At 39.6% G+C, this 26,686-nt stretch overlaps 1 protein-coding gene and 1 long non-coding RNA gene across 14 annotated transcripts in view; one reads left to right on the forward strand and one right to left on the reverse strand.

Annotated features, from left to right (window-relative positions):
* CRIM1 (cysteine rich transmembrane BMP regulator 1) overlaps positions 1 to 26,686 on the forward strand; it is a 195,358-nt gene that overhangs the window by 53,713 nt on the left and 114,959 nt on the right. The gene's annotated exons all lie outside the window — the stretch shown is intronic.
* Positions 6,857 to 10,271, reverse strand: LOC124905989 (uncharacterized). Its single transcript, XR_007086282.1, has 2 exons — positions 10,088 to 10,271; positions 6,857 to 9,559 (listed from the first exon to the last, which is right to left on the reverse strand). It is a non-coding gene; the product is annotated as an uncharacterized LOC124905989 (long non-coding RNA).

The raw sequence follows: 26,686 nt of genomic DNA on the forward strand, positions 1-26,686 counted from the left end.
GGATTGTCCTGGGGCTGGCCCATTGCATAGGGGCATTTGAGATGAATATGGAAAGGACCTCGCCCTAAGAAGTCTAGTGGGAGAGATCATAGACACAAGGAGTTATAATGAGGGTAGAGCAGCCATACCCAGTCTGAATAGTGTTATGCCCGGTAGACATTCTAGAAGACATTGATAAACAAGAATCAAAGCTAACTTTAATCAGTTTAAAAGCTACTTTGTGATTTATAGACACATATGTTTACTTCTAGAATTGGCACTTCTTTGTTCTTTGTGAAATGTGTAACTTAAGAAAGGTATTTAGGAGCACTAAAATTAAATATTTGAGTTTTTTTAAAGAAGCATTCTAATAATAAAATTTGACTCATTCCCTAGTTCATATTGACCTTCACTAAGCATACTGTTCTGGGGCATTTGAATAATTTGTTTCAAAAGCTATGAGACCATTCTTTTAATGGTGCATACGCTCTAAGATAAGAATAATGGATTCCCATTGGTTGATGATACATGCAAAGGTAGGGATATACTCTTACAGTGTGCCTTCCTGCTTTTGATTCGTGGTTTCTCTTGCTAAGTGTTTTCTGCATCAGGAGGAGGTGACAGCAGTAAGTGGTGCCTGTAAAGTTGGAAAAGGGAAGGAATTAACATGAATTAATGTCTGTGTGAGTTTTTAAGGAACTGGAATGTCCCTCTAAATCGAGGATGTGTTTTTTTTGTTTCTGGTTGACAACTTCCTAGTTTTCCTACACTTCATTATTCTTTTCTCTGTCACTGGGATTTTTTTTTCAATTTCCCGAAAAGCAAATGAAGTGCTTTATCCTTATCAGTAGCCTTTCTTTTCCTGTTCCAATAACAAAAGAACAATACAGGAATTTAATAATGTTAAAAAATTGCTGTGTCTTTTTCTTAATATATCCATTTATTTGTCTGCAGATAAAATCCAAGTTTTACAGACATAGAGGAAAGCTGTTTATATAAGTAAAATGAGCTACTATTGTATCTTGTCCTTGTCAGGGTTTTCTTTTTTTGTCTTTTCACCCAGTTTAGAAAGTGGATTTTTTTTTTCTCTTTAAAATGTGTGCCCATGTTCTGTTATTAAGAGGAAAAGTCCTGAAAATACAAAGATAGGTGAAAACACTGGTTATCCTCTAACAGAAGGACACTTTAAAGATTCCTAAAACACATTCTGATCTTGTTTATGTATCTATATTCTATTAAATATTGTTATTTACTCTTCCTGCTGCTTTGGAAAAAAAAAAAGTCCAATCTGCCTCACAGACCTTTTATAAATATCAGAGTTGTGGTTTTGCAACAGTGTACATGAAAAGACACTTGTTTCAGTGTTTGAGTTCATGGCAGGGTGCATTAACGTGGCGTCTGCAAGTATCCTTGAAGCCACATTGAGGAGGGAACTTGGGACTTGTTCCATGGTGGTCCTGCTCTGACCTCAGAGGACCTTGCTTGCTGACTTTTTTAAGGCATGAAACAAATTCTCATATTCTCAGTCGTGTCTGACGCAGATCTGGGTACTAGTCAGGGTTCTAAACTGCCTAAATAAATATCTTGCATATAACATCTAAAGTGACATTTATCTCTGTGGTACTAAAAAGAAAATACTATTCCACTTACATGTTCTTGGTGCCCTTTGGCATTTTGATTGCTAATTACAATAGGACCTTCAGATTGCCTTCTGATTGAGACCTAACTTATTTCTGTTTCATCTGGAATTTTTCAAATACAATTATTATGTGGTGTTAACACTTCATTGCAGCATGGAACTCCCAAAAATGTTGTGTATATATTCTTTCATGCCTCTCAGCCTGGCTTCATGTCTGTCTAGGTACAGGTCTTATTATAATGTTGCCCTTGGGGGTCCTTTTGATATATCAAGAACTAAACCTCTTTAGTCAGGAGAGTGTATTCTGTATGGATTTATAATAAATAGTCTGTGTTCATATGCATAGGAAATAATGCATTTTCTGAAAAAAATTATGCATGTCACTTGTATTTTTTGTACTTTATGTGCCGGAAGAACATTGTATACAAATATGTCCCATGTGCATGTATGAATTTATATAGCTACATGTATATAAGCACATATACATCCATGATGATATCATAGGTAATATGTGGAAATAAGTGCAACCATGTGATTATTTTTATCTTATTCTTTGTGTGTGTGTGTGTGTGTGTGTACAGTTACCTGTGTGCTATTAAATGTGACAGTGCCGATAATAGTGTTACATTCTCTGGTTAAGTGTTTCCTGAGAATTTTGGTCTTCCTTAATGGTGCACATTAGTTATAGACTCTTAACCCGTGAGATACATTCCAGTGGTTCGTTTCTAAGAATCGATGTAATATTATGCACTTTGTAAATAGCTTATAGAGGATAAGCTATGACTCCTGAAATAAATATTATTCAAACTGCTTCCATTTTCATTTCCCTTATCACTATAACAACCACACCCAACTTTGCAATTAAATTGTGTTGTCTATCTGCTTCCCGCACACTAGTGAAGCTGACCCTATTGAATTCAAAGGAAATATGAGAGATAAAGTCGAAAACTGTCTTCCTTTTGTTGACATTTCTAAAGCAACAAGTCAGAAAGCTTGACTCCCTTTAGGTAGACCAGAGCTGCTACGGGTCATGATTAGATGGTATGTCCACTAGTAACTGTGATGACGCCCAACAGAATTATTTGAAACATTCTCAGTAAATAACCAAGAACTCCAGTAAGCAAAAGGGGAGTAGCTGTTAACTTGCAGTTTCAGTTTTCTACAAATGGGGGCGCAGGGGGTGGGGGGCGCACGGAATACCGAGGACAAAGGTAAAGATCGACATAGAATGGAAGTCACCAGATTTCTGCGTTTAACCCATTCTTGCCCAGCCCAAGTGAAATTGTGTTTTGGAGAAGCCTCCATATTTGGCCATCGAGAGATTGGCAGTGGGAATTCTTGGCTGTATTTTACTGCTCTCTTTATTGAAATATTTGCCACATCTGACAGTTCTGTCACTGTTCAGTTCAGAGGGATTTTTAAATCATATACTGACTTTGATGCTTCATGGATTTGTATTATTTGTGTATTCCTCAGTCATACTAACCTTTGTATCAAGATTTTTGCCATATGACTCATATCAAAGTTTTTAAGACATATTTAAAACAAATGAATTTTAAATAGTGGCCCATTTGCTATATGTTAAATTTGATATACAAAATTTTATACATCTTAAATTTATATATCTTTGATATCTTAAATTTGGTATACAAATGGTGGCCCATTTGATATATGTTTGCTTAACATAATGTAACATGATTGATTTTGTTATATTTCCCATGAGCTGAGGTACTGTTGTTTTCTATTACCAGAGAAGACATTTCAGATCTTTTAAATCTTATGTGAAGTACTTCCTAAGAAGAGAAGTAAAATGAGTATATCTCACATTAGTTACTATTATCTGCAGCATCAAAAATAAATGAATATCCCCAGGAAAAAGGTTATAAAATTACAACACCTAGACACATTGAGGTAGGTAGTAAATGTGAAATGGGCTTACGAATGACTTTATTCACTTACTGGCATTTGGGAGGGACTCAGGCTGTCAGGAAAATGAACCAATCTGTATTAATATAAAGCGCTAGAAATATAAATAAATCATGTTTGAAAGCGATACCAGGATTTTCCTTGAATGCTGCTGAATAAATTCTGCTTGTTAAATGTCAGTGAAATGTATGTCACCTGCATGCATAAAGTGAGAGGGCCACAAAAAACATCCACTTACCACTTTGAAATATGTAAGCCCTTTAATGTTCCTTTGACCTTCAGTTAAAGGACATAGTCTCATAGCAGAGGAAATGCCTCAAATTCTAGCATCTGGGTTTGTTTCTTTATACTTTTTTGGCATAGTTACAACAGTAGGGCTTTTCTGTCCTTTAATTTTTTTCACAGTACAGTCAACACAGGCTTTTCACACAAGCGGGAAAGGACGGTTGTGAGGCCAAAAGCAATATGTTTCTTCTCTGTGCTCCACGGCAGAGCCTAATTGAATGGCTTGTTGTTTCAGAGAGAGCCCAGAACCAACAAGCAGACAAACAGAATCCCACACAAATACAAATTGCGTATAAAATTAGATACCTACACACGTGCGTATCAATGGATATGTACTAAAAATGCAGTCAGCGATCTCTTATTTTGAGCTCATTGGCTTAGTCACCGTGTTCCAATTCTTTCATCTTTGCAGTTTTTGGATTTTCATCTGAATTTTCAGCTGGCTAAAGATGTTTCTTCTACAGCTGAAAAGAGAACCTAGTTTCATTACATACACTTGTAAAGTGTATGTATTTGGATGGGGGTGCTCTATTTCAGCCCTATTCATATGTCAACCATATTGTCATTTATCATTAGCAAAAGGTCACTTTTAAGCTTTGCAGAATGAAACGGTGAGATCCGATTTTCCATTAATTAAAAAATATACATCATAACAGTATGCTGGAGACATCTTCATATATTTGTGTTTTCCCTGCTTTACATCCAATAGGTTTCTGTGTATGAGCTTCTCCTGAGACTGAATAATAGCAGCACACCCTAATGCACCTTTTTTAATGGGAATTCAGTTGGGTACCATATGCCTTTCTCACTGCTGAAGGCCTTCATGCTTTGGCATCTCTGCTCTCATCTTACCGGTGATTGTGGGCCATTTGTCTGGTTCTGACATGGAAATATTAGGAAGCAGTGCTGTTATATACAAATCCTTATAGCCTTAAAATTAAATGCAGCTCTCAAAAGCAGCCTAAAAGTTAAATGACACACAAAAGCTTGTTTTGTCTGAAGTTTATATGTTTATTCTGTAGAGTTACATTGGATAGGGTAGTTATCAGCCCTTAGCAAATGCCTACTTAGTTTTCCTTAATCTGTTATTCATTCATTCATTCAACAAATATTTATTGAGCGCCTGCTCTGTTCAGACACTGTGCTAGATTCAGGGCAAACAAGACAGATAAGGTTCTAGTCCCCCCCCGAGCTTTCAGTCTTAAGTGGCAAAAATAAAATTATGTGATTGCTGTTGACGTACAGGGTACTGAGACTGAGATAGGATAGCTTGAGAAAGTCTCTCCTCTGAAGAGCTGATGTTTTAAGTTGGACTGAAAGGTAAGAAGGAGCTGGCTGTGCAAAGAGCTCGTGGAAGAACATTCTAGACAGAGTGAACTTGCCCATGTTCAGTGACCCCAGTATGGGAGAAAGAGTTTTGTGTCCCGAGGGACTTAAAGTTGTGATGTGGCTGTAGTGTATTGAGTGAGTGTTGGGGAGAGTGGCAGAAGAGGAAGCTGGAGAGGCAGGGAAGGGCTCAGTTACACAGACAACATGGTAAGGAGTTTGGATTTTATTCTAAGTATAATAGGAATCCATGAAAGAGTTTGAAGCTTCAGATGGAGATGAGAGGATGCCCTTTTTAAGATCAACTGTGGCTGCCATGTGGAAAATGGATTGTAGCGGGAAGCTAGAGTAGAATCAGAAACATTATTTAGGCCACTGAAGAAGAGCCCAGCCAGGAGACTGCTATGTGGCTGGACCAGGGTGCTAGCAGAGGAGTTGGATAGATTCTCTGTTCCATTTGGAAATACAGTTAAAAGGGCTCAATTAGGTTGGATTTGGGGGTGAGGTTGGGGGTAGACTTCAGAGTGACCCCAGGGTTCTGGCTTGAGCAGTTGGTACCATTTCCTAAGATGGGTAAGACTGGGCAAAAACTAAGGGGAGTCAAAATTACCTGCTTGAGAAACTGAGAGTATACTGGAGGCAGAAGTGATTCTGAGTCCTTTTCTTCGTGTGGTGATGCTATTTGGAAATCAAGTCATTAGAGTGTTTCACTACCTGGAACACATCAGTAAAATTGTGAAAATTCCACCTTGGTAGCTCTTGGTTACAGCTCTTCAGCTTTGTCTTGTGCTGTTTTATCTAATCCTCTGTCTCTTCTGTAGGCTGTTTCTCTGACCTTTGGAGAAGGCTTTTGTTTCTTCCCCAGGGATGTCAACACAACCCATATCCCAATTTGTTTGGCTTCCCTTTAAAATTGTTCATAGATTCTTTCTGTAAGTTTTTCACTACATGCATCTACTATTTCAGGCATGATTATCGTCACACTAGAATCCCGGTGGAACCAAGGCTAGCTGGGGGAAATGAAAGATTGTGAGTGTCATATCTCATGCACACTCCAGAGCATGTGGAGAAGCCCATACCATTTAAATCATTCTTCCTCCATCCCCTAACTGAGGACTTATGTGGTAGGACCTTATTATACTTAGTCTATGTCTGTGTGCTTATCATACCACATTTTATTTTCCTGTGTGCCTGCCAATATCCTCTGAAAGCAGGGACGGTGCCTGGCATCTAGGGGATAGTTAATGAGTGTCTGATGATTTAAAAAAATAATGGATTGGGGCTGGGCACAGTGGCTCACGCCTGTAATCCCAGCACTTTGGGGGGCCAAGGCACGCGGATCACTTAAGGTCAGGAGTTCAAGACCAGCCAGGGCAACATGGTGAAACCCTGTCTCTACTAAAAATATAAAAATTAGCTTGGCATGGTAGGGTGTGCCTGTAATCCCAGCTACTCAGGAGGCTGAGGCAGGAGAATCACTTGAACCTGGGAGGTGGAGGTTACAGTGAGCAGAGATCGTGCCACTGCACTCCAGTCTGGGTGATAGGGTGGGATTTTGTCTCAAAATAATAATAATAATAATAATAATGGATTGGAACTATGGAACTAAATTATAAAAGATAACTTTCATGATATGCTAAAAAATGGGACTTTATTGCCATTGAGGAACCTAAATTATAAAAGATAACTTTCATGATATGCTAAAAGAATGGGAACTTTATTGCCATTGCAAGCTTGTGAGGAGAGAGGTAGCATGTGAAGTTAAGACTAGAATGACCGGTTCCTTGATTGAAAACAATCAATAAAGGTGCTGTGAACAGATTATCAGAAAGTATCTGTAAGTATAAAACACATTCAGAATTTAGAAAACAAGATGTAACTCCTACTACAACACTGCGTTTGTCTTCTGAAAGGAAGAGACATCACAGGTTTAGTATTTTTTGACCTGTCATTTGATTTTAGTTTACGCCTAATTTCATTTAAGCTTATCCTTTTGGCCATAGTCCCATTTCTTTTCAGTGTTTTTGCTGCCAGTTTTTCAGATACAGAAGGAAAGTCATATTTGCTGTGTGCAGTTGGAAGAAACCCTGGCACAGTTCCTCCAGAAACCAAAGACAGAAATTATTAGCCATATCCAGACCAGTAGCTGACTGGCTCCAATTCTTCCTCCCATGAGCTTTCCTGATTAATGGGAGAATCTGTTCTGTAGTCGAACAGCCTCTTTCCTGAGCCCAGTCTGTCCTGGCTTCAGAGCATGACCAGCTGTGCAGCTGAAGCCATTGCCAGGGCTCTGTTTCTGATTCTGCTCCTCAGCATGTTGGAGGTGTTGGACGGGGAAGCAGAGGGGTGGGAAGAGCATCCAGGTCAGTTTAGATGTTTCAGCAGGTAACAGACGTGGCACCGTCCACCCAGAATCCCGCCACTCCCATTGGACTCTGTCCTCTTCAGAAGGCTGTCATTCTGCATGGTGCAGATGTTGCAGTCCTTCCCTTATTCTTTTGTCTTTTTGTCCAGACCACTTAGCTCCTGTGTCTGTGGTGATTAAATGCTTTGTAACTTTTTCTGACATCCTTTTCTTCACCCCTCTTCTCTCTTCCCCTACTGTCTCGCCCACCATACCTCTTCTGTTTTCTGTTTGCCTTTCTTTCCTCTCAGCTATTGCATTTTCCCCTTTACACTGAAATAGCTTTGTTTATTGGCCTGTTTCCAGCAATATTAACATATTTCAATTTTTTACTCACCTGTTTACCAATTTAACAAAGCTAAGGTGGTTCATGGCAGTATTTGGGGCCTGAAATATGAAATACTGTCATAGCAGATTGTATACGTTCAATTTCTGTTACCTTTCTCTTACCTTTCTTCCTTATTCTAGACTCAATCTATTTCATTTCAGGGGTCTGTTATCTGAGTGTTTGGAGTTTGGGATCCTTGTAGGATCTTCAAAGCTAAAGACCTATCTCCACTGCATCTCTGAGATCTTAAAAACAATAATATGAAGATCCAGAATAAATTGGTGTCAGTTAAACTCTAACCAAAGAAGGTTTAAATGCAGTGAGCATTTGAGTGATAAATAAGGTACGGCCCGAACTCAAGAGGCTTCCAGTTTTCTTGGGGAGACAGGCATGAACACCACTCACTAGAATAGAAAGTAGAATGAAATAAGTACTTTCATAATTTACAGGTACGAGAAAAATGCACAGGATTACTGAGAAAGGAGTTATATTCTGACTAGGAAAATCAGAAATTGTGGCATTTTCTGTGAACATTGAAGGATGAACAGGATTTCAGTAAATGGAGAAGAAAGGCAGGAGGGCTTCCTAGACCAAGGAGGTGATGGTGGTGGTGGGTGGAGGAGAATTGTGCATGCCGATCTTCTGTGCAGCACTGGGTGGCAGGCACATTGCACCTAAATGAGCACTGACTATGCTTTCAAGAAGTTGGGACTAAGGGAACAGGTGCAGGTTAGAATTGTAGCCTGAAGGTAAAGTAAGAGCTCAAGGAGGAGTGTTTACTTCCTGAATTTTAGAAATGTAGCATGTTTATAAATAGAGCCAGCAGAGAGGGAGAAATTCAAGGCACAGTGCAGGAGTGCAAGGCCCCAGGTAACACGACAGACTCTTCTTTGAGTCCTGCCTCTCTCACTTTTCATGTTTGAGCTCTTTTTATTGTTTGCTTTTTGAGATGGTCTCGCTCTGACACCCAAGGAGAAGTGCAGTGGTGCAATTATGGTTCACTGCAGCCTCCACCTCCCCAGGCTCAGCTTCCCAAGTAGCTGGGAATATATGTGCACACCACCCTGCCTGGCGAATTTTTGTATTTTTTGTAAAGATGGCATTTCACTGTGTTGCCTGGGCTGGTCTTGAACTCCTGGGCTCAGGCAGTCCACCCACCTCGGCCTCCCAAAGTGCTGGCATTACAGGGGTGAGCCACCGTGCCCAGCCACTTGAGCTCTTTATTCTGCCATGTCCGGGTTCCCCTTTTCTATGCAATGCAGAGGTGGTATAAAGCCACTAAACCAAGGAATCAGCTTCAGAAACAAGGTAAAGCTGCCTTCACTCAATGGGAAATCACATCTATAGATCACCGCTCTGTTGGCAGGGTCAGATGACTGAGGTGTCTTGTGTCTTGATCAAAAGTTTTGTTTCCACTGGGTCTCTGTCCTGAGGTCTCCATGGATCTGTGACCTTGGACAAGTCATTTAACCCCTAGGCACCTTCCTTGCCCTCTCTGTTAAAATGAGATGATGGTCCCAGCGCTGTCTTAGGCCTCTGTGTCACCACCACTGGAGTTGTTTAAAATCCAGGCTGTATAGGTTCTGTCTCCTCTTCTCCTCCCACTGCCTTCCCCACTTCTCCTTCCTCTCTCCTGCTGTAGTCATTAGCCTGATGTATCCTGACAGTATCCCTGTAATAAATATAAGTGGAATTTGCTAATTAAATGCTAGCATTTTTAAAGAAAGTTTCCAGCAATTGGTAGAGTAGCTGAGTGGTTTATAGGCTTCCTATTCAAGAGGGAGGTGTCCTAAGGTTTAAAATTAAGGTTCTAGTCATAAAGGAGGCTTTTATTATTAGGACAACATGGTAATTTGGTTGAGAGAGGACTTACTCTCTGCAACATTAAAACATACATATACTTTTGACAGTTTCAGTAGTAGCTTTGTCCTTTTGATTTACTTCTTTGGACAGTTGTGATTGACATCAGATTGAACACATGGTTCAGTAAAAACTACAGCTCCTTGAAGTACTTTTGTTAATATTCTAATCTCCTATTTGCATCATTAACAAGAGCACATTTTATTGCCGCTTGAAATAGACTCATTGACATCCCAGAATAGGTAGTTTTGATATTAGCTACTTGTTAATGCTGCCCAGGCCATTCACATTCCATGTTCTTGATAATGTACCACGTTCTTAGTACACAGCCCTTACTTACCACATTGAAGAGACTGAATGCACTGATTTTAAGAAGGAGGTCTTGTGCCTCCTAGGGGGACTAGCTCTTTTAGTATTATTTCTCTTATTTCTGAAGCTTATGTTAGAATCTGAGCATAAAGCTTCATTTCATTTTCCCTGGAGCCAATTATGATCTCAAAATGAGAAGTGCATGAGTAAATAAATTTAAAGGGGGCTTTTGGGAAATGTTCTGACATAGGCGATCTGCGCAGCACATCTGAAATACCTGGGATGTGGTTATATACAGTGGTCATCATATTCAGTGGTGACATTCAGAAATGATGGCAGTTTATAAATAATCCTAATTTGTAGCAAATATGTGGCTTTAAGGCCCTGTGATGTGATTGTTTTCTTTGTTCTGTTGATCTTGTGACTTTAAAGTGGCATTCAGTTCTCTGTTCATTTTAAATGTTTGTCGCTTCTGACTTCTGTTTCCTCTTATTGTTTTCTGTTTTTGTGTTTGAGCCCTTAACTCAGGTGTATTTATTTCCCCCTCCCAACTTCCTGCCCTCTTTCTTCTTCTGATATCTTCTCTTTGATAACCATGTCTTCCATGTTTAGTGTTCTCTTGCCCTCCAGCAACCTATGTTAGTTTGGTTCATTTGTTTAAAAACAAATCTCCTATTTTTGAGAATGAGAATGTGGTGTTATTAACTAACATTTAGAGCATGCTTATATATCAGATGTCCCCAGGCATTTTCTATGGATTATGTTATTTAATATACCCAAGAATCCCATGAAGTAAGTTAAAGGGGTGAAGTAACTTGCCCAAGATTTCACAGCAGGGAGAGGTAGAGCCGAGGTTGGAACCCAGATGGTTTCATTCTGGATCTCCTATTCATAACCAATCCTGTTACTTTATTGTCTCAACTGTTCAGTCCGTCAAGATTTAATGATCACCAGCGTTGTCCCAGGCACAGTGCAGACACAAGGACACTAGATCCCTTTCTCTTGCCATATGTACGGGGTCTTAAGTGCCATTTGAGAGGTTCTTCCATAGCACCTGTGCATGCCAGTGCCTAACTCTTTTCAAAAGTTCAGGAGGTCTTCATCCCTGTGGAGCTGAGGTTTGCAGGATAATTAAGAGTTTGCCAGCTGGGGAAGCAGAGAAGGCATAGGGACATGGGGTAAGAAAGGAGAGCACAGTCGACACTGCAACAGCTCTCATGTGACTGGAGCATAGGTGCTGCCATAGCAGAACAGATGGGCAGTTGGGGAATACGTCGTGGGGTTGGTTGAGTCCAGGTGGCCAAGGGCTTTGAGTGTCATGGCACAGAATTTGGACTTCATTTTTCAGCCATTTAGGAAGCTAGTACAACCTTCTTGAGTCTCTCCTGCCTGTTTTGCCTCATTCCACAGAGGCCACTGGAGATCTGGAAACCCCGTGGTGTTTAACATTGGCAGCTGAGACCTCTACGTGATCAGCTTAGAGGAAATTTTATTGCAGTAGCATTGTAAAAACTAGTGTTTTCATACAGTCTTTTGATCCTTGGTCCCGCATAACTACTGTTAAATCCAAAACCATAAGCAGAAATTTAACATGAGTGCTTATATTCTTAACTTGTAAGATGAATACAGAGATACTTTCCAAAGAAGTTTTTAATGTAAATTTAAATGTATGACTTTTATGCAGGTATGGTATGTGCTTTTTCCTGATTAAATTTCCTTTTTGGGGGAGAAATTGAGAATTTAAATGATGTCATGAAACAAAAGGCTTTGGATACTGTTGAAAAGCTGCAATCAGTACTGTTTAAAATGCTTACTCACTATTACAATTAATCTTTATAAAGCAAACATCTTTCTTGATGGGACTTTTTTCAAAAACCATTTTTATTAGTCTGTTTTCTGGTGGTAGTAAGATGACTAGATATGAGCCCAGTTTAAACTCAAATTCTTACTTTTCCACTTTCAGTAAGAAAAATAATTAGCATTAACATTTCAGTGGAATTGCAAATATATTGCCCTAGCTTACTCAGGGAAAGGGAATTACCAGCTGGCGAAAAAGCAGTAGAATGAAGTGTAGTCAGGCGTTATCTCACATTGAGATTCTTAGGTGGGGACTCTTTGAAACAAATCTCAAAAAAATTTTAAAATCCAGAAGATGGCCTCTTTTCACAGCCATTACCTTGGAGGCCCATTTTCTTGTCCTAACGTAGCTGCCCTTGCATGAAGGAGGAATGTTTTTTGTGTCTCTTGCTCTTTCCCTCCTTTCTTTCCTTCTTTCCTTTTTTTATTTTTAATTGCCTTCAGTGTTTGCAGCAGTTTTTTCAATGCCTTTGGTAATGGCAAACTTTGATTTTTTGAAGTTGGATTTAATTTTGGGAAACAGCCAAAAGGCATATGGAGTCATACCTGATTAATAAAATAGGTAAGCACTTTGGAGAATTCTATTTTTGCTAAAACATAAGCTTAAACTATTAGGCACTGAGGCAGATTTTATTGTATATCTCATGAACTGCCTTTAAAGAAAATGTCAAAAGGAACATTACAGAAAAATGTTGAGAAGTGGCAGAATTGGGATACTAGATAGCTTCCTTAGGTGACTTTGAAGAACAATTTTATTGATGTGAATTTATAAGTCCTATTATTTTGTTTCTTGGGGGATTTGTCTCTATTTTGCGGTTTTATCTTATATATTCAATATAGTTAATGTTCTTTAATTAAAAAAAATCTTTAGGATACTTTAGTAGCACTCAGTCTTTAATTTGAATGTCTGTTAGTGTAGTACTATATATGTGGGGATATACCTGTACCAGTTAATAGAGTGTGTAGTTAATAAAAGGTGGCAGGGTGGTAAACCTTTCTCCCCCTGCATAATTGAATAGTTTTAAGTGCCATTTGAAATCCTGAATATCCAAGATTGGATTCCAATAACTGTGTAGCCTGAGAAGCTTTGCTGTCAGCAGCTGCTGGTGTTTGTAAGAGTTATTTCACTACTTATCGCTCTTCAGATTCACCATGAATTTAGGTAGTAATTTACCATTGCAGAAGGGGCAAGCTCTGCTTCTGATAGTGTTATGATACTATGTTTTTGCTTCCTTAATGATACGATTCTTGAGGTAGAAAAATTAAAAATATGTGGTATAAATCAGCTTCATGAATTAAATTCCCCAGATTTAATGATGACAGTTTTATTCCTGGGATGCTTACGCTATAACTCCCTAAATGCTTCATTTAATACTTCGGAAATGGTTGTTCTCATAGGAGCTGTTATTGCAAAGTCAGTAATGGCTCTGGGGCTGAAATTTGCTTTCTTAATTCTAGTCCATTGTCTTTTGTTGTCATGTTTCCTCAGTTTCCTTAGATATGTCACACCAAGGACTGGTTACAGAAATACTGCAGTGCATTATCCAATCTAAGCCTGCTTTACTTTCTTTCAAATGAGCTTTTAAGCATATAAGTAGCGTATATAATGGAAACAGAATTTAGGGTGCTTAGGTAAGAAAGGAATTACTTCCATACTAGAGTATTTTACAGCTTTGTTTGATCTCTTAATTGTCTAGATCAGAGATTCTTGGGTACTTTCAAATTCATTTTAATGTACCATAGCCCTTTAAAAATGACAAATAAATTTAGGCAGTTTGTTTTCAGAACTGATTTGAAGAATTTCAGCATACTATTTAAGGTAAGTAGTCCTATACTGGGGATCCTAAGCTAGAGTCAGCTTGGACTCGTTGAACCACGTGACCACCCAGGGTTTCCTATAGAGCACGTTTTTAGCTATTTAAAATAATTACCATGCTGGACCTGGAGACCTGTGAATAGTCCATAAAGTTAATTACACCTTGAGACACACCCTCTGCTCAGCTACTCAAGTACCGTATCCACTTTACAATGTTCCTTTGTTAACAAGATCTATGTGGTTGAAGTATGTATTATAGTAATGTGCAATTCATTGTGTACAGACATTTCCAAAGTAAGATGATGGTAATAATTACACAGTAAAAGAGTTCAGGCCTTTTGCGATTGTTGTGTAGCTAGGATCGGAAGGCTTTGTAAACTTGATATGTTTTTGCATACTTTGGGTTGGTGCTACCTGATTATGGTACTAAAGTATTTGAGTCCTCTGCCCTTGTATCATTTGTTTGTTAGACTTTACATTGTTGACTGGGTTCCATGATTTATAAAAAGATCCCAGAATCTTTTGTAACTATTTAAAGGTCAGCAGCTAATGATAATCAGAACTAATAATAGATGCTTACTTATGCACCAGGTATTAGTCTAAGCCATTGATGTGTTAGTTAATACCTCTCAACAAGTAAGTGAGGTAGAGACTTTTATTATTTTATAGATGAGGAAGCTGAAGCTAGGAAAGGTGACTGAGGCCCACAGACTTGTAGTAAGTGGTAGAACAAACTAGGCAGACAGGTACGTAGGTAGGTGGATAGAAAGAAATAGAGAAAAAAAGAGATTTAAGAATAGTAGAAGGTGTCAGTAAAGGATATAATAGCTGATTTCCTGCCTGCTGTGGTCTAGGCATTATGTTGGGCTACAAGGAAACAAAAATGTATGAAACTCAGGCCCAGTCCTCATGGAAATCACATTTGGTCATGGATTACCCTGATATAAGTGTAAATAATTAATGATGCAATGTGAACATTTTATAAAGTAGGTTGTGCATAAAGTCTACGAAAATAGACTGAGAGAAGGAATCCAACTTGTAGGGGAGGCAGAGATGAAGAGATATTCACAGAGGAGAAGGCTTTTGCTTAAAGATGACCACAGTGCCCTTTGAGAGTGGGAACCATGTATTGTTCAACCGTGTCTCTCCAGATCTCTAGCAAAGTGCCCAGGATGTCATGGTTGCTCAGTAAATGTTGGGTGGTAGGTGGTAGCAGTCTGGCCAGATGGGTGAATGTTGGGGAAGAGCATTGTAGGAGATGGACATATCTGATGAAAAGCACAGAGGCAGATAAGGCCATGGTATGCTCATCCACAGTAGGGCTGTGTCCTTGGGAAGTAGGACATATGGGAGCATGGCCACTGTGCTACTTCACACATCACTCTCCTTTTACTTTTAGTCTCTACTCCCAACATCCTCACTTTACCTGCTTTAAATCGTATTTGTATTTCAAAACCCTGATAAAAATTTCTCACTTCCTCCGTGAAGTTTTTTCAGCAGTTGCCATGCACCCTAGTCTCTCCTTTCTCTAGTCACAATCCTTTTTGTTCCTGCCACTCATGAGCCTCAATGGATATCTCACTTACACTGATTTGATCTTTACAAATTGTATGCATGTATTAAATTATCATATGTACCCACCCCCAAAATATAACAGATTGCCTGCAGTCACCTCTTTGATTATTGTTTTCTTTTGTTAAATTATTTCCTCTATTCTCTCTTCTTGGAGTGCAGAGAACCTTAGGATTCATATGCTACCCTTCCTATTGGTACAAGAGGACACGGAAGCCCATTGAGATGAAAATAATTGTCCAAATCACGTAAGCAGTTAAAGTCAGGCCCGGGACTGAGTCCATGGCTGAGACCAATCCATGCTAGCTAATGTTCCTCTTGTTCTTCCGAGCTCAGTAGTGAGTTTGTGGAGGTGAGGGACTGGGTATCATACTCACTGTGGGTCAAGTAGCTGCTCAGGAACATTTGCAAATGAAAGAATGAATACCACTTGGCTTTCTGAGTAATATAAGGATAATGTGGTTCCCAGCCTTAATAAACAGCTCTAGCAGACTAAACATATTGATAGTAAGCCCTCAACTGTTAGATATACTCATTCAGAAATAATATCAGAAGATCAACTGCTGAGCAGAATTTTCATGTTAAAACTATTTCACTAGGAGTACTGGTACAGGTCGGTGTTAGACTCATTACTGAAAACTCACTTGAAGAACTCTATTAGCTTTACATATTTCTAGCAGATTAAACTTAGATTACTTACTTTTAAATTATTATTGGAAGTTAGTCTAAGTTATTTTCCAATATAGAATCATTGTCTTAATTTAATAATTCTTGCTTCACAATAACATAATTTGGAACGGAAATTAGATTCCAGAGTGCCCTTGTAATTACAAATTGAAAAATCCTTTTCTGACTCAAAAGGGGGCTTACTGGTGACAAATTCCATTATCAGCAACATTCTCATCAGAGGCTCAGATGAGGTGGTGCCTTCTGATGCATTCTTAAGTGGGTAATGGGTAGAAGAGTTAGGTGTGAGGTTATTGCTAAATACGAATAACCATGAATTATACAAGATTTATTACTCAGAAACCAACAGAGTAGAGCCTTGCAATTCATTGCTTTAACATTCATGAATTCAGTTATTTATGAAACAGTGACCCAGAGGATCCATGTCATGTAGTGGTTTGTCATTTGAATCAGGTGAAGCCCCTGTGCAGGGGAAAATCACTTAGCTGGTGACAAGCCAACCACCCAATTGTTTTTAGCCCATTATCACATATGTAGGAAGTCATGAACTAGTCAAAACTGTTTTCTTTGTGAAAGAAGGCCTGGTGATGGGAGTGCAGAGGAATAACATGTTCCTAGAAAGTGATGATTCTTTACCAAAAAACAGAAATCTGGGACCAATTAAAAAGCCGGCATGCTGTATTTGGCAATAGATTGAATCTCTGAAATGCATAGTCCAGAACCAAGAAGAGCAATTTCTGGAAATACCTCAGTGAGTGTACTGGCCAGTGTAAAATTTCACTTTCTGGGACAATTATGATCCATCCGTTTTTTATAGGAGGCCCAGTAATGATATCTTGACTGAATTGCCTTTTTGAGTTACAATCATTAATCTTGAAGGTCATTTGAGATGTCTCAAGTCTCTTATTTAAGTCTTTGAGATCAAGTAAAATCCCTAGCATGTATCAATAGCCACCTGTATCAAACATTGTGTATGTTTTTTAAATAAAGAATATCTGGCTATAGGATTCCCTTAGCCTCTTTGGAAGAAATTATCTTGAATAGGGAAGATAGTGAAGAACTGGTATGTCCAAGTAGAACTAGGAATTAGAGCAATAGTCTGGATCCTGGAGCTCAGAAAATGGGCAGTAAGTCAGGGACAAAAGGTGGCTTCTTAATCTGTTGTTAAAAATTACTTAGAGTAGAAATTCACATTGAGCCAGTCCATCAAGCTCCCAGTATCACTAAAGAAAACCTGTGGTACTACCACTCCCCCTTGTTTATATCTGACCTCCCACAAGGCTCCTTTTTTGTATGTGTAGTGCTTTCCCTATTCCAGACACATTTTTATGTTTTTTAATTATAACATGGACAAAGGATAGCATTGACATAAACCCCAAATTTTAATAAATGACTTTCCTGAAAATGAGAGTAGCAGTGACTTTAAAAATGGTAAGAAAAGGAGCCGTGCGCAGTGGCTCACGCCTGTAATCCCAGCACTTTGGGAGGCTGAGGCGGGTGGATCACGAGGTCAGGAATTCAAGACCAGCCTGACTAACATGGTGAAACCCCATCTCTGCTAAAAATACAAAAATTAGCCGGGTGTAGTGGTGTGCGCCTATAATCCCAACTACTCAGGAGGCTAAGGAAGGAGAATTGCTTGAACCTGGGAGGCAGATGTTGCAGTGAGCCGAGATCGCACCACTGCACTCCAGCCTGGGTGACAGAGTGAAACTCTGTCTCAAAAAAAAAAAAGAAAGAAAAGAAAAAGAAGAGGAGAAAATGGGGAAGAAATAGAGAAGGCTGGCTTCATCCTCCTCATTTGCTAGGTAGGAGATCTGCAGTGCCTTCACAAGACTAGGGAGGCAGATGCATCCACTCAATATAGGGATAGAGTCTTTCAGCCATCAGCAGGAGATGTTCAGGTAATTAACTTCCCCTCATAAAACCAAGGATCAGAACAAGAGCAGAGAAGCACTGTTTGAACTGTGAGGAAGCCATGGCAGCATGAGAGGGTCTTGTAGACAGAAAGCTTTCAGAGGTGGGAGCCGTAACAAGCCAAGGCCTGAAGCAGACACACAACTTCCACAGGAAGCATTCTACCATCTTTCATGTTGAGACACCCTGTCTAGTCTTACCAGTGGCTCTGGTGGAAGAGCTTCTACTTTCCTCTGGCTGGACTTCATCTTCTGAATGGGTTAAGGAGACTGCCAGAGGTCTAAACTTCTGGGGATTCAGTTGTTACAGAGAAGTCCCTATGGTATGGAGGCCCTAGGTTGTTCCTCATGGGCGCTCTCTCTGTCTAGGGCTCCAGCCCCAAGACCCTTGGTGTACAGACAGATTGCCCTTGTATTCCATCTTGCAGGCCTGCCCTGGCTCCCATTCCTAGCCCATTTGTTCACTGTGTCTCAGGGGGCGAGGCTCCGCCTGTGTGGCTGGGTAGCCTATCAGCACCTGGCTGGTGGACAGCACTATAGCTGTCCTATGACTAAAGGTTGCTCTTCTGACCTTTCTTAGCCACTCCACTAATAAAGGGTTATTTTTGTGTTGGTTTGGTTTGTATGTTTAGCTGATTTCATGATAAAGGAACTTTGTAATCAAACACTTTTTCAGCTAGATTCTAAGCAATTTTAAATATTATGTAAGAGATCAAATAACTATCAGTGTAAGATGCAGACTACAGACTGAAAAATGAGAAGGTTAGGATGATGACTGTGTGTTTTGATGGAAGCAGTGCAGGACTTCCCAGGAGACTGGGCTTCTGGCCCTGCCTTGACATTCATAGGTAAATGACCCTTGGGCAAGTCATTTGGCTTTTCTAAGTCACTGTTTTCTTTACTCATATCTACGAATTTCTGATTAAGACAACTTTTCTTCTCCTTTGACAAGTAAGTCTTGTAGACAGAATCATTCCCACATTTGTATGTAATATTGATTCCCCTATTCTCTTGTAGTTAAAGCTTCAAATCTCTAATTCATCTTTTTTGTAGGAAGGATTAGATTGATTTATTGAAAATTCTGAGCTATAGAATACTGTAGAAGAAGCCTGGGCTTTCTGCTTAAAGTTCATATATACAGAAAATCTAGGCTTGTGGATGACAAAGCGTTTTCTGTACCTCATTGCTTTTATTAAAATACCCAACTTATTATAGTGTCTCTTATTTAGCAGTTGGTTAAATATTCCTGGAGTTAATGAGTAAGAATCTTCTATCTTGTAACAAATAGATGTAGAGCTTTGGTAAGAAGTACACATATTACTTGTTTGAGTGTTTCTCAAGTGATTCAGAATGCTTTACTTACATTCGCTCTTAAGGCAAAATACTTCCATTATTCTTACAGTTCATTGTCTTAGGAAACTTGTTGCAGAAGTTTCTAATTGTCCCCATATACATGTGTTCATTCTCCTCTTCCTGCGTAGATATAAAATGTTTAAAGATACAGTCACCCAGAATAAAGACACCGTTGAGGGAGGTGTGGCCACGTGACTGAGTCCTGGTCCATGAAGTGAGCATAAATGACAGTGCTCCTTTTCCCATAATGCTGTTTAGAGTTGCGCCTTCCCCTTCTACTTTTCCCCTCTCCCACAGTTGGAATACCATATGGACAAGGGCTGCACCGTAGGGATTGAATGGGCAAAAAAGCTGAAAGGAACTTAGGTCCCTAGCACCTGTGTGGAGCCCAATCCCCATAACATTTATAGAATTAAATTTCATGACACTCTTATTGCACATAACACAAATTCCCAACTACTGGCATGTGGCTTTGTGAGAGCTGTTTCACCATAATCTGTTGAGACTTATTTGTGGAATCATGATGTCCCGTGACATTTGAAAATGGAAGAGAATCCTGGAATATGGGAGCAACACTGACGCAGAACACAGTGTTCACTTTGGAAGCAGTCATGATCTCTTCTTGCTGTGGAAGCCTCAACAGTTTGCCTGTTCCCTCCATTGTACTCCTCTCTGAATTCTCTCTCAGGCCTAGATGCTGGGCTCTGTGTGGGTTGCTGTATGGTATAGAAGAGGATGAGATTGGCGGGGACGGCTCTTGTTCAGGTCCATCAAGACTGTCGCTGTCCTCTATACCTTGAGCCAGCTCTACTGTGCATTTATAGAAAAGAGAGACCAGCACACAGAAAGAGAGAAAGCAGCTGTTTTTAGGGGGAGGAGAGAAGATGGTGGAGCTTACAAGAGACTGATGTTTGCAAGTGGATATGGTATAAAGTAGTAGTTCTCAAAGCACGGTGCCTAGACAGCAGCATCAGGAGCCTGTGAATTTGTTAGAAGCACACATCCTGAGGCTTCACCCAAGACCAGGGGATAAGATTTGGCAATCTGTGCTTAAAAAAGCGTTTGCCTTGCTCACTTCTGAGAACCAGTGGTCTAAAGAGTGTTGGGAAGCCTGACAGTGGTAGTTACAAGGGTGTACCCTGATGGGAGTCCTGGGATCAAAAAGACTTGAACTAGAAGTAAGGGACCAGGTGAGGGAGCATTCCCTTCAGAGAGAGTTGTTAAAATAAGCCGGGGTTCTCATGATGCTGCTGAAAGGAGTGTAAGTACTGTACCTCCTGTGTTTGGGACCAAGGGTGTATCTAGCCTTAGGCTTCCATTCCAGCACATCCCGTCAGCCAGATGTGCAAAAGTTCCTCCGTATACACACTGTACTGCTTAAATTGCTGGTATTTTGAAATAGAAAAAGGTGCTTATAAACCCATACTGACTGTGATGAACAGGGAGTACTTTTTCCACCTACCTCTGCTTGGGAGGCTGAACCCCATCTTGCCCTGGAAGATGGCTTTGAGCCAGAAGCCAAGCCCTTTAATGGCTATGAAGGGGGGAAAAAGTATGATTTCCATGTAAGGGCTACCAAGAATATAAGTACCTATTTAATAAATTATTTGTTGAAATGCCTTTTCTATTTTGGTAGTTGAAGTTTGAAAAATGTTTGGAGTACTATAATTATCATTTCTGGGAAAAAAATACACATTGCAGTATTTTTGTTTTTGCTACAGGTCAAGTTGTAGTTCAGGATGGAAAGTAAACACATCCCTTTGCTCAGCTGCAGCTCACATATTTGTAGTCTCTGGGTGCCCTCTTGGCAGTCGTGGTGGATACCCAAAGGACACAAACAGGGCATAGAAACGCGGGGCTCCATCAGGGGCTTGCCCCAGTGCAAGTCTGATTAGGAAGTTTGCTGGAGCCGAAGGAATGGCCCAGAAGGGTGGAGATGCCTTCACAGAAGGAGTCCTAGGACCAGAATGAGGCTGTTCTCAGAGGCATGCCCACCTCTGGGAGGGGTCTGCAGAAGCACTTTCTCACCAGGGAGAGCCTTTATGGTATGGGTCTAAACACTGGGAGATCTTTGTTTGTTTTTGGAGGCACTCCTTACCATTCTATGCCATCTTGTCAATTTGACAACTTTGTAAACAGGGCCCATCCACACATCTTGAATGTAGAAATAGCTGAGAACAGTCTCCAGGAGAAATTACCTATATAAGGCTGCTTCCTTCCTTCTCTCCAGAGTGGAGACGATTTATAAAGAGAAAGTATTGGAAGCTGACAGAGAAACAGCACTTGAGAGTAAAACTTTTGGCATGTAAGAGGACTGTGTGTGTGTGTACCCATGCCTATGAGTGTGTGTCTGTGTTTCAGAATCAACTTTACCTTTCTGAGACATAGCAAGCATGGAGTGATTACATCTGTGCCTTGGGACATCGCGTTAGGTGTTAGGTTTAAAACAAACTGAGGAGAAAACATAAGAACCTGTGAGTACTCTGTGTGTGTGTATATGTATATACACATATATGTATGAAATGTTTTTATACTTACACACTTTATATTTTACATAATATGAAAAAGTATATATTCTTTTACTCTCCAAGGCAGTCTTGTAGAATAAATGTCTTTATGCCCTGTACACTCTATTCAGCACCCTCTTTTTGTTCTTGCTATATCATTTTAATTACATAAGTAAAGTCACTTTCAGAAATCTCAGATCAACACACGATATTCTTTGAAGTCTTTCTAAAAACATCTGAAATCCATATGCCACCTCTGGGACTCGGGAATTTTTTGACAATATTACGATAATACCCTTGGTTTATTGTTCCTTGTCTTTAAAATCACGTAAGATCACACTTTCTACTACACTACTAAAAACTCTATAGAGTGTTGACAAATACTGGAGGTTTAAAGGAACATGACTGGCTGCTCCTTTAATTCAGCAAGCGTTTGTCGGTCTTCCTTGAATGAGCAGGAACTGAGCATCCTTGGAACCTGACTGCATAGGAAGGGCTCTCAGAACATCTGGTTGGAATATGTTCATAGGAGACACCCACAAGGGCCAGCCCCTCATTTTACAGATGAACACCAGACCCTTCACTCTGACATATTTAAAATCTGACATTTTATTATGTACTTTTTTCAAATTGCTGTCATTGTTGCACAAAGGAAGAACCAAGTTACCGTGTCCCTTCCTCAGTGGAGGAAAAGTTGATAGAGGTTTTATTTGTTGTTCTAAAATGGATGCCACCTTCCGGTAAACATTACTTGGGGAGTTCTTAATTTCTAATGTTTATGCCTCTGTGACATTTTCAAGCTGTTATAAAGAGTCTTCTTAAAATGTTGCTGAGCTGGCTATACAAATTTAGTTCATTTAATTTACCTCATTAGTCATTTGTCCCATTCTCTAATAATTTTGATTCCTTTTTTGTGGGTCAGTGTTTATGGCAAAATGTGTTCGGTGGGGGAGGTATTCAGAGAAGACTGTAGTTTATTAGGTAAAATTAAACGTTTTGAAACCAGTCTTTAGTTCTTTGTACATTTATCTAAACCATCCTTAGGCCTTATTTTATTGCCAGATTTTTAAAAAAATAAATTCATTGTTACATTTTGAAATTTGTTATGGTGTGTGAATATATAAATATAATTATTTGAATGGCAATTTTTTCTGGGAGTAGGTTGGATATATTTTTCTGGTGTGAATTAACAGATGAAATAAAATGTCTCTGAACTCAGTAAATATTTGAAAACTGTTTTAAAATTCAGTAGGATGCAAACAGGCCACATTTGGCATCCGGCTCTCCCACTCCCCAGTCCTTCCACCCCACTACCTCCCATAAAAGGCAAATCCTGGAAGCCACTCTGAACTTTTTTCCTTCCTCCCAGGAAGCTCTGACTTTTCCAGGAAGATTCCAGGGAACACTAGTTGGATCCGATTTCCTAAGAATTAAAGCAGCTTTAAATCTCCTGGGAGTGTAGAGGATGAAGGGGTTGAGGGTCCCTAGAACAATAGGTCAGCATTGACTGCAGATTGGAGTCAGCTGGGGAACTGTAAAAAAAAATATATACCGATACCAGGGTACCACTTCCAGTAATTCTGTTTAATTGGAATTGGTCTGGGGTGCACTCTGAGCTTTTGGATTTTTAATCTTCTCCTAGGGTTTTTAATGGGCAGCCGAGGTTGACAGTCATTATTCTGGCACTAAATTTTCAAACTATAGTATGCATGAGAATCACCTCTAGGGTTTGTTCAAACCCAGATTACCGAGCCCCACTCCCAGCATTTCTGATTCTGTAGGTCTGGTGGGCCTTAGAATTTGCACTTCTAGCGAGCTCCTTAGGAGATGCCGATGCTGCTGGTGCAAGGATCATTGTTTGAGAACCATCACTTTAGAGCAGTTCATCTCAAACTTTACTGTGCATCTTGCTAAAATGCAGATTCTGATTCAGTAGGACTGGAGTGAGGTCTAAGTTTCTGCATTTCCAGCAAGCTCCCAAGCTCCCAGGTGTTGCTGAGGCTACTGGTCTAGGGGCCACACTTTAAGTAACAAATCTCTAATCTAAAGCATCATTATGAATGCAATTCCATAACATCGTTTGGGAAGAAAAGATGTGTGGTTCAGGAGATTCCTAGAGGCACGGTGGGGCCGATATATGCCTTAGACCTGGTGGCAGGCAGAGATCTGGAGGGCTCAGTGCTTCTTTGGCACTTGGCCAGCTGTGGCTTGCCAGGGTGTTGGAACATGCCCTTGGCGAAGCTGTACTGTCAATAGGGAGCTTCATTGTAAAGATTCTCTGTTTGCTTGGAGTAAGGCAGTGGTTCTCAGGCCCAATTGCACAATAGAATCACCCTGGGAGCTATTTAAACAAGTACTAATGCCCAGGCTCCTCCCCCAGAATTTCTGATTTAATTGGTTTGAGGTGGGATCCAGACAGTGGTATTTTTAAAATCTTTGTGAGTGATTTTAATGCACAGCCAGGGTTGAGAACCACTGAATTAAGAAATCACGTTACAGTCTTACAGATCACTTTTTTCCCTTTATATTTGGCTAAGTTATACTGCACAGTGATGCAAACTAGCTTTATTAGGTAGTCAAAAACAATTTAATATGGCATTTTTGACAAACCACCAAGAAAAGACTCTGCAAAGATTCCGTCGCTGTTAAATCCTAAATTCGGAGTCTTAAGATAGTGCTGGGAAAGTGCAGTGGGTGTTTCTGAACGAGCTTGAAATATGAAATATTTCTGGGACTGTATCAACAAGTCTAATTTTTTCCCCTTGGGGTTATGATTGTGCGGAACAAGTCTTCACAGCAAAGCTTGCCAAAAAAGGTTATGATAAAATCATGGAATGTGTATGAAAAGAATTCACAGTGTAACTTTAAAGGAGTCAGTCTCTAAATTTAAAAACTTAGGGATGACATACGTATTACATTTGTAATAAAAGTTTTAAGAACAAAGTAATGCTGAATATAAGAAAGTTCCTCCTTTTATCACATGATATCTCTAAGGCCAAGGAACAAGTGAAATAGAACAGCCAGCAAGAAAGTAATGAGGATACGCTAAAGACACTGAACCTCTTTATCTTTGCAAATTAATTTTGTCCTCTGTATTTAAGCAAAAATGTAGCTATTGACTAAATATACAGATACCAGCAACGCCGAGTAGGAAAGTTGAAGCTCTTCTTGCTTTTGGCATTATGGACGACTAGTGGGAAAATCATGGGCTTTGGCAGTTCTGCCACTTGCTTTGTGACCTTGGCCAAGTTTCTTATCCTCTCTGGGTCTCTCTCTTCATCTGTCAAGTAGACATGAAGATATAATCTCTTCTTCACACAGGAGTACAAAGGCGTGTGAGAATGAGTAGAGGCGTGCCCCACACGTAGGAGATGCTCAATTAGTAGAGATTTCTTTCATTTCTCCAGCATGACCATGAGAATTTAATGCTTAATAAGAAGCATTATCCATCAAAACATTTTTCTTGTTGAGTCTTTATTGGTATTTTCTGCCTATTAATTGTATCAGTTTAGATTTCTTATTAATAATCATGAAGTCTGTTTTTCCACTTGAAGAGTAGGCCCTTTCTTCTTGCTTTAGAGCCATCATTTTTGCCATTCCCTTTGTCTGGAACACTCTTGCTTTGTGTTTTGTGTGCTTTCTCCCTTCTTTCATGCAAGCCTGTGTTGCGATGCCATGTCAGAGATACCTTCCTTCACTCGCCTGGTGACACATGGCACCCGTATCACTGAATATGCTGCAAAGCCTTTATCATAACCTGGCATGGTGCTGTGTAGCTTTTTATTGTCTGTCTTCTCCAGAATTGTAATTCTCAAGGTTGGTCTCCCTGTGCTACTGAGTGACCAAGGGCCCCCGTGATACTCTAGGCTGATACCACGGCTACTCTAGGGCTTTAGATTATAAAAGACATCAGAGGGAGGTGTCGGAAAAAACAGTGACCCCAGACTCTTCTCTTGACTTTGTGTTCTACCTACTAAATTTCCGCTATCAAATATAATCCAAATTTGGGGTCCTTTGAATTCCCCGAAGTAGCTTGAACCGCCCAAGGATTGTCTCAGGATGGCTGTGTATCTCACTGTGTGTGTGTGTGTGTGTGAGTGAGAGAGAGACAGAGAGAGAGAATGAAGAACGAGAAGAGATTTCAAAATAGAAGTTTTCAGTGTCAGATGTATGGGACTCTACAAACTTTAAATAGAAATAATGGTAATCTGCCAATGTAATTTTTATCTTCTTTTTTTTTCCTCTTACTACCAGTAGTTTTTCATTTGTCTTTGTGTTTTATTTAAATTTGCTTTTAAGCAGAAGCTCTTGCATGCATTTGCTTCTCGTAGATCATGATTGTATTAGGTTGGTGCAAAAGTAATCGCAGTTTTTGTCATTACTTTCAATGGCAAAAACAGCGATTGCTTTTGCACCAACCTATACTTCCTTGACATATGGACCTGAAGAGGGCCTAAAAATGGCCAAGATCCAGTCATACACATTAAAGTGACCAGGATTGATAGAAACTTTCCAGGGTTATGGTAAAATCATTTTATATTGGGTGAGCCTGTCAATATTTTAATACTAACTTCTTAAAGATTATTAAGATGATGAAACCAGGTTATTTTTCCATAGTTACTTCTGTTGCAAGTGATATTGTCACTTTGGTCTTTCTATATCTGGGCAGGCTTTTTTTTTTTTTAATGTCTGTTGCACTGTTATCAGTGTAATCAGACATAGAAGTTATTTTAAGTATTATATATAGATCTGTTAGACACCATAGGGAAAGAGTTAGGAGAGACTTCAAATAGATAAAATTAAAAATTCAGAAGTAATGTCAGAAAAACTTTCTAATTGATGGAGTGGCTGTAGTTTTATCCTTATTTTCTCCATGGAAAAAACATAGAATAGAGACAGAGAAGAATAAATAAAATCTGATG

This window comes from Homo sapiens, chromosome 2 (genome assembly GCF_000001405.40).
Source record: "Homo sapiens chromosome 2, GRCh38.p14 Primary Assembly".
Lineage (NCBI taxonomy): Eukaryota > Metazoa > Chordata > Mammalia > Primates > Hominidae > Homo > Homo sapiens.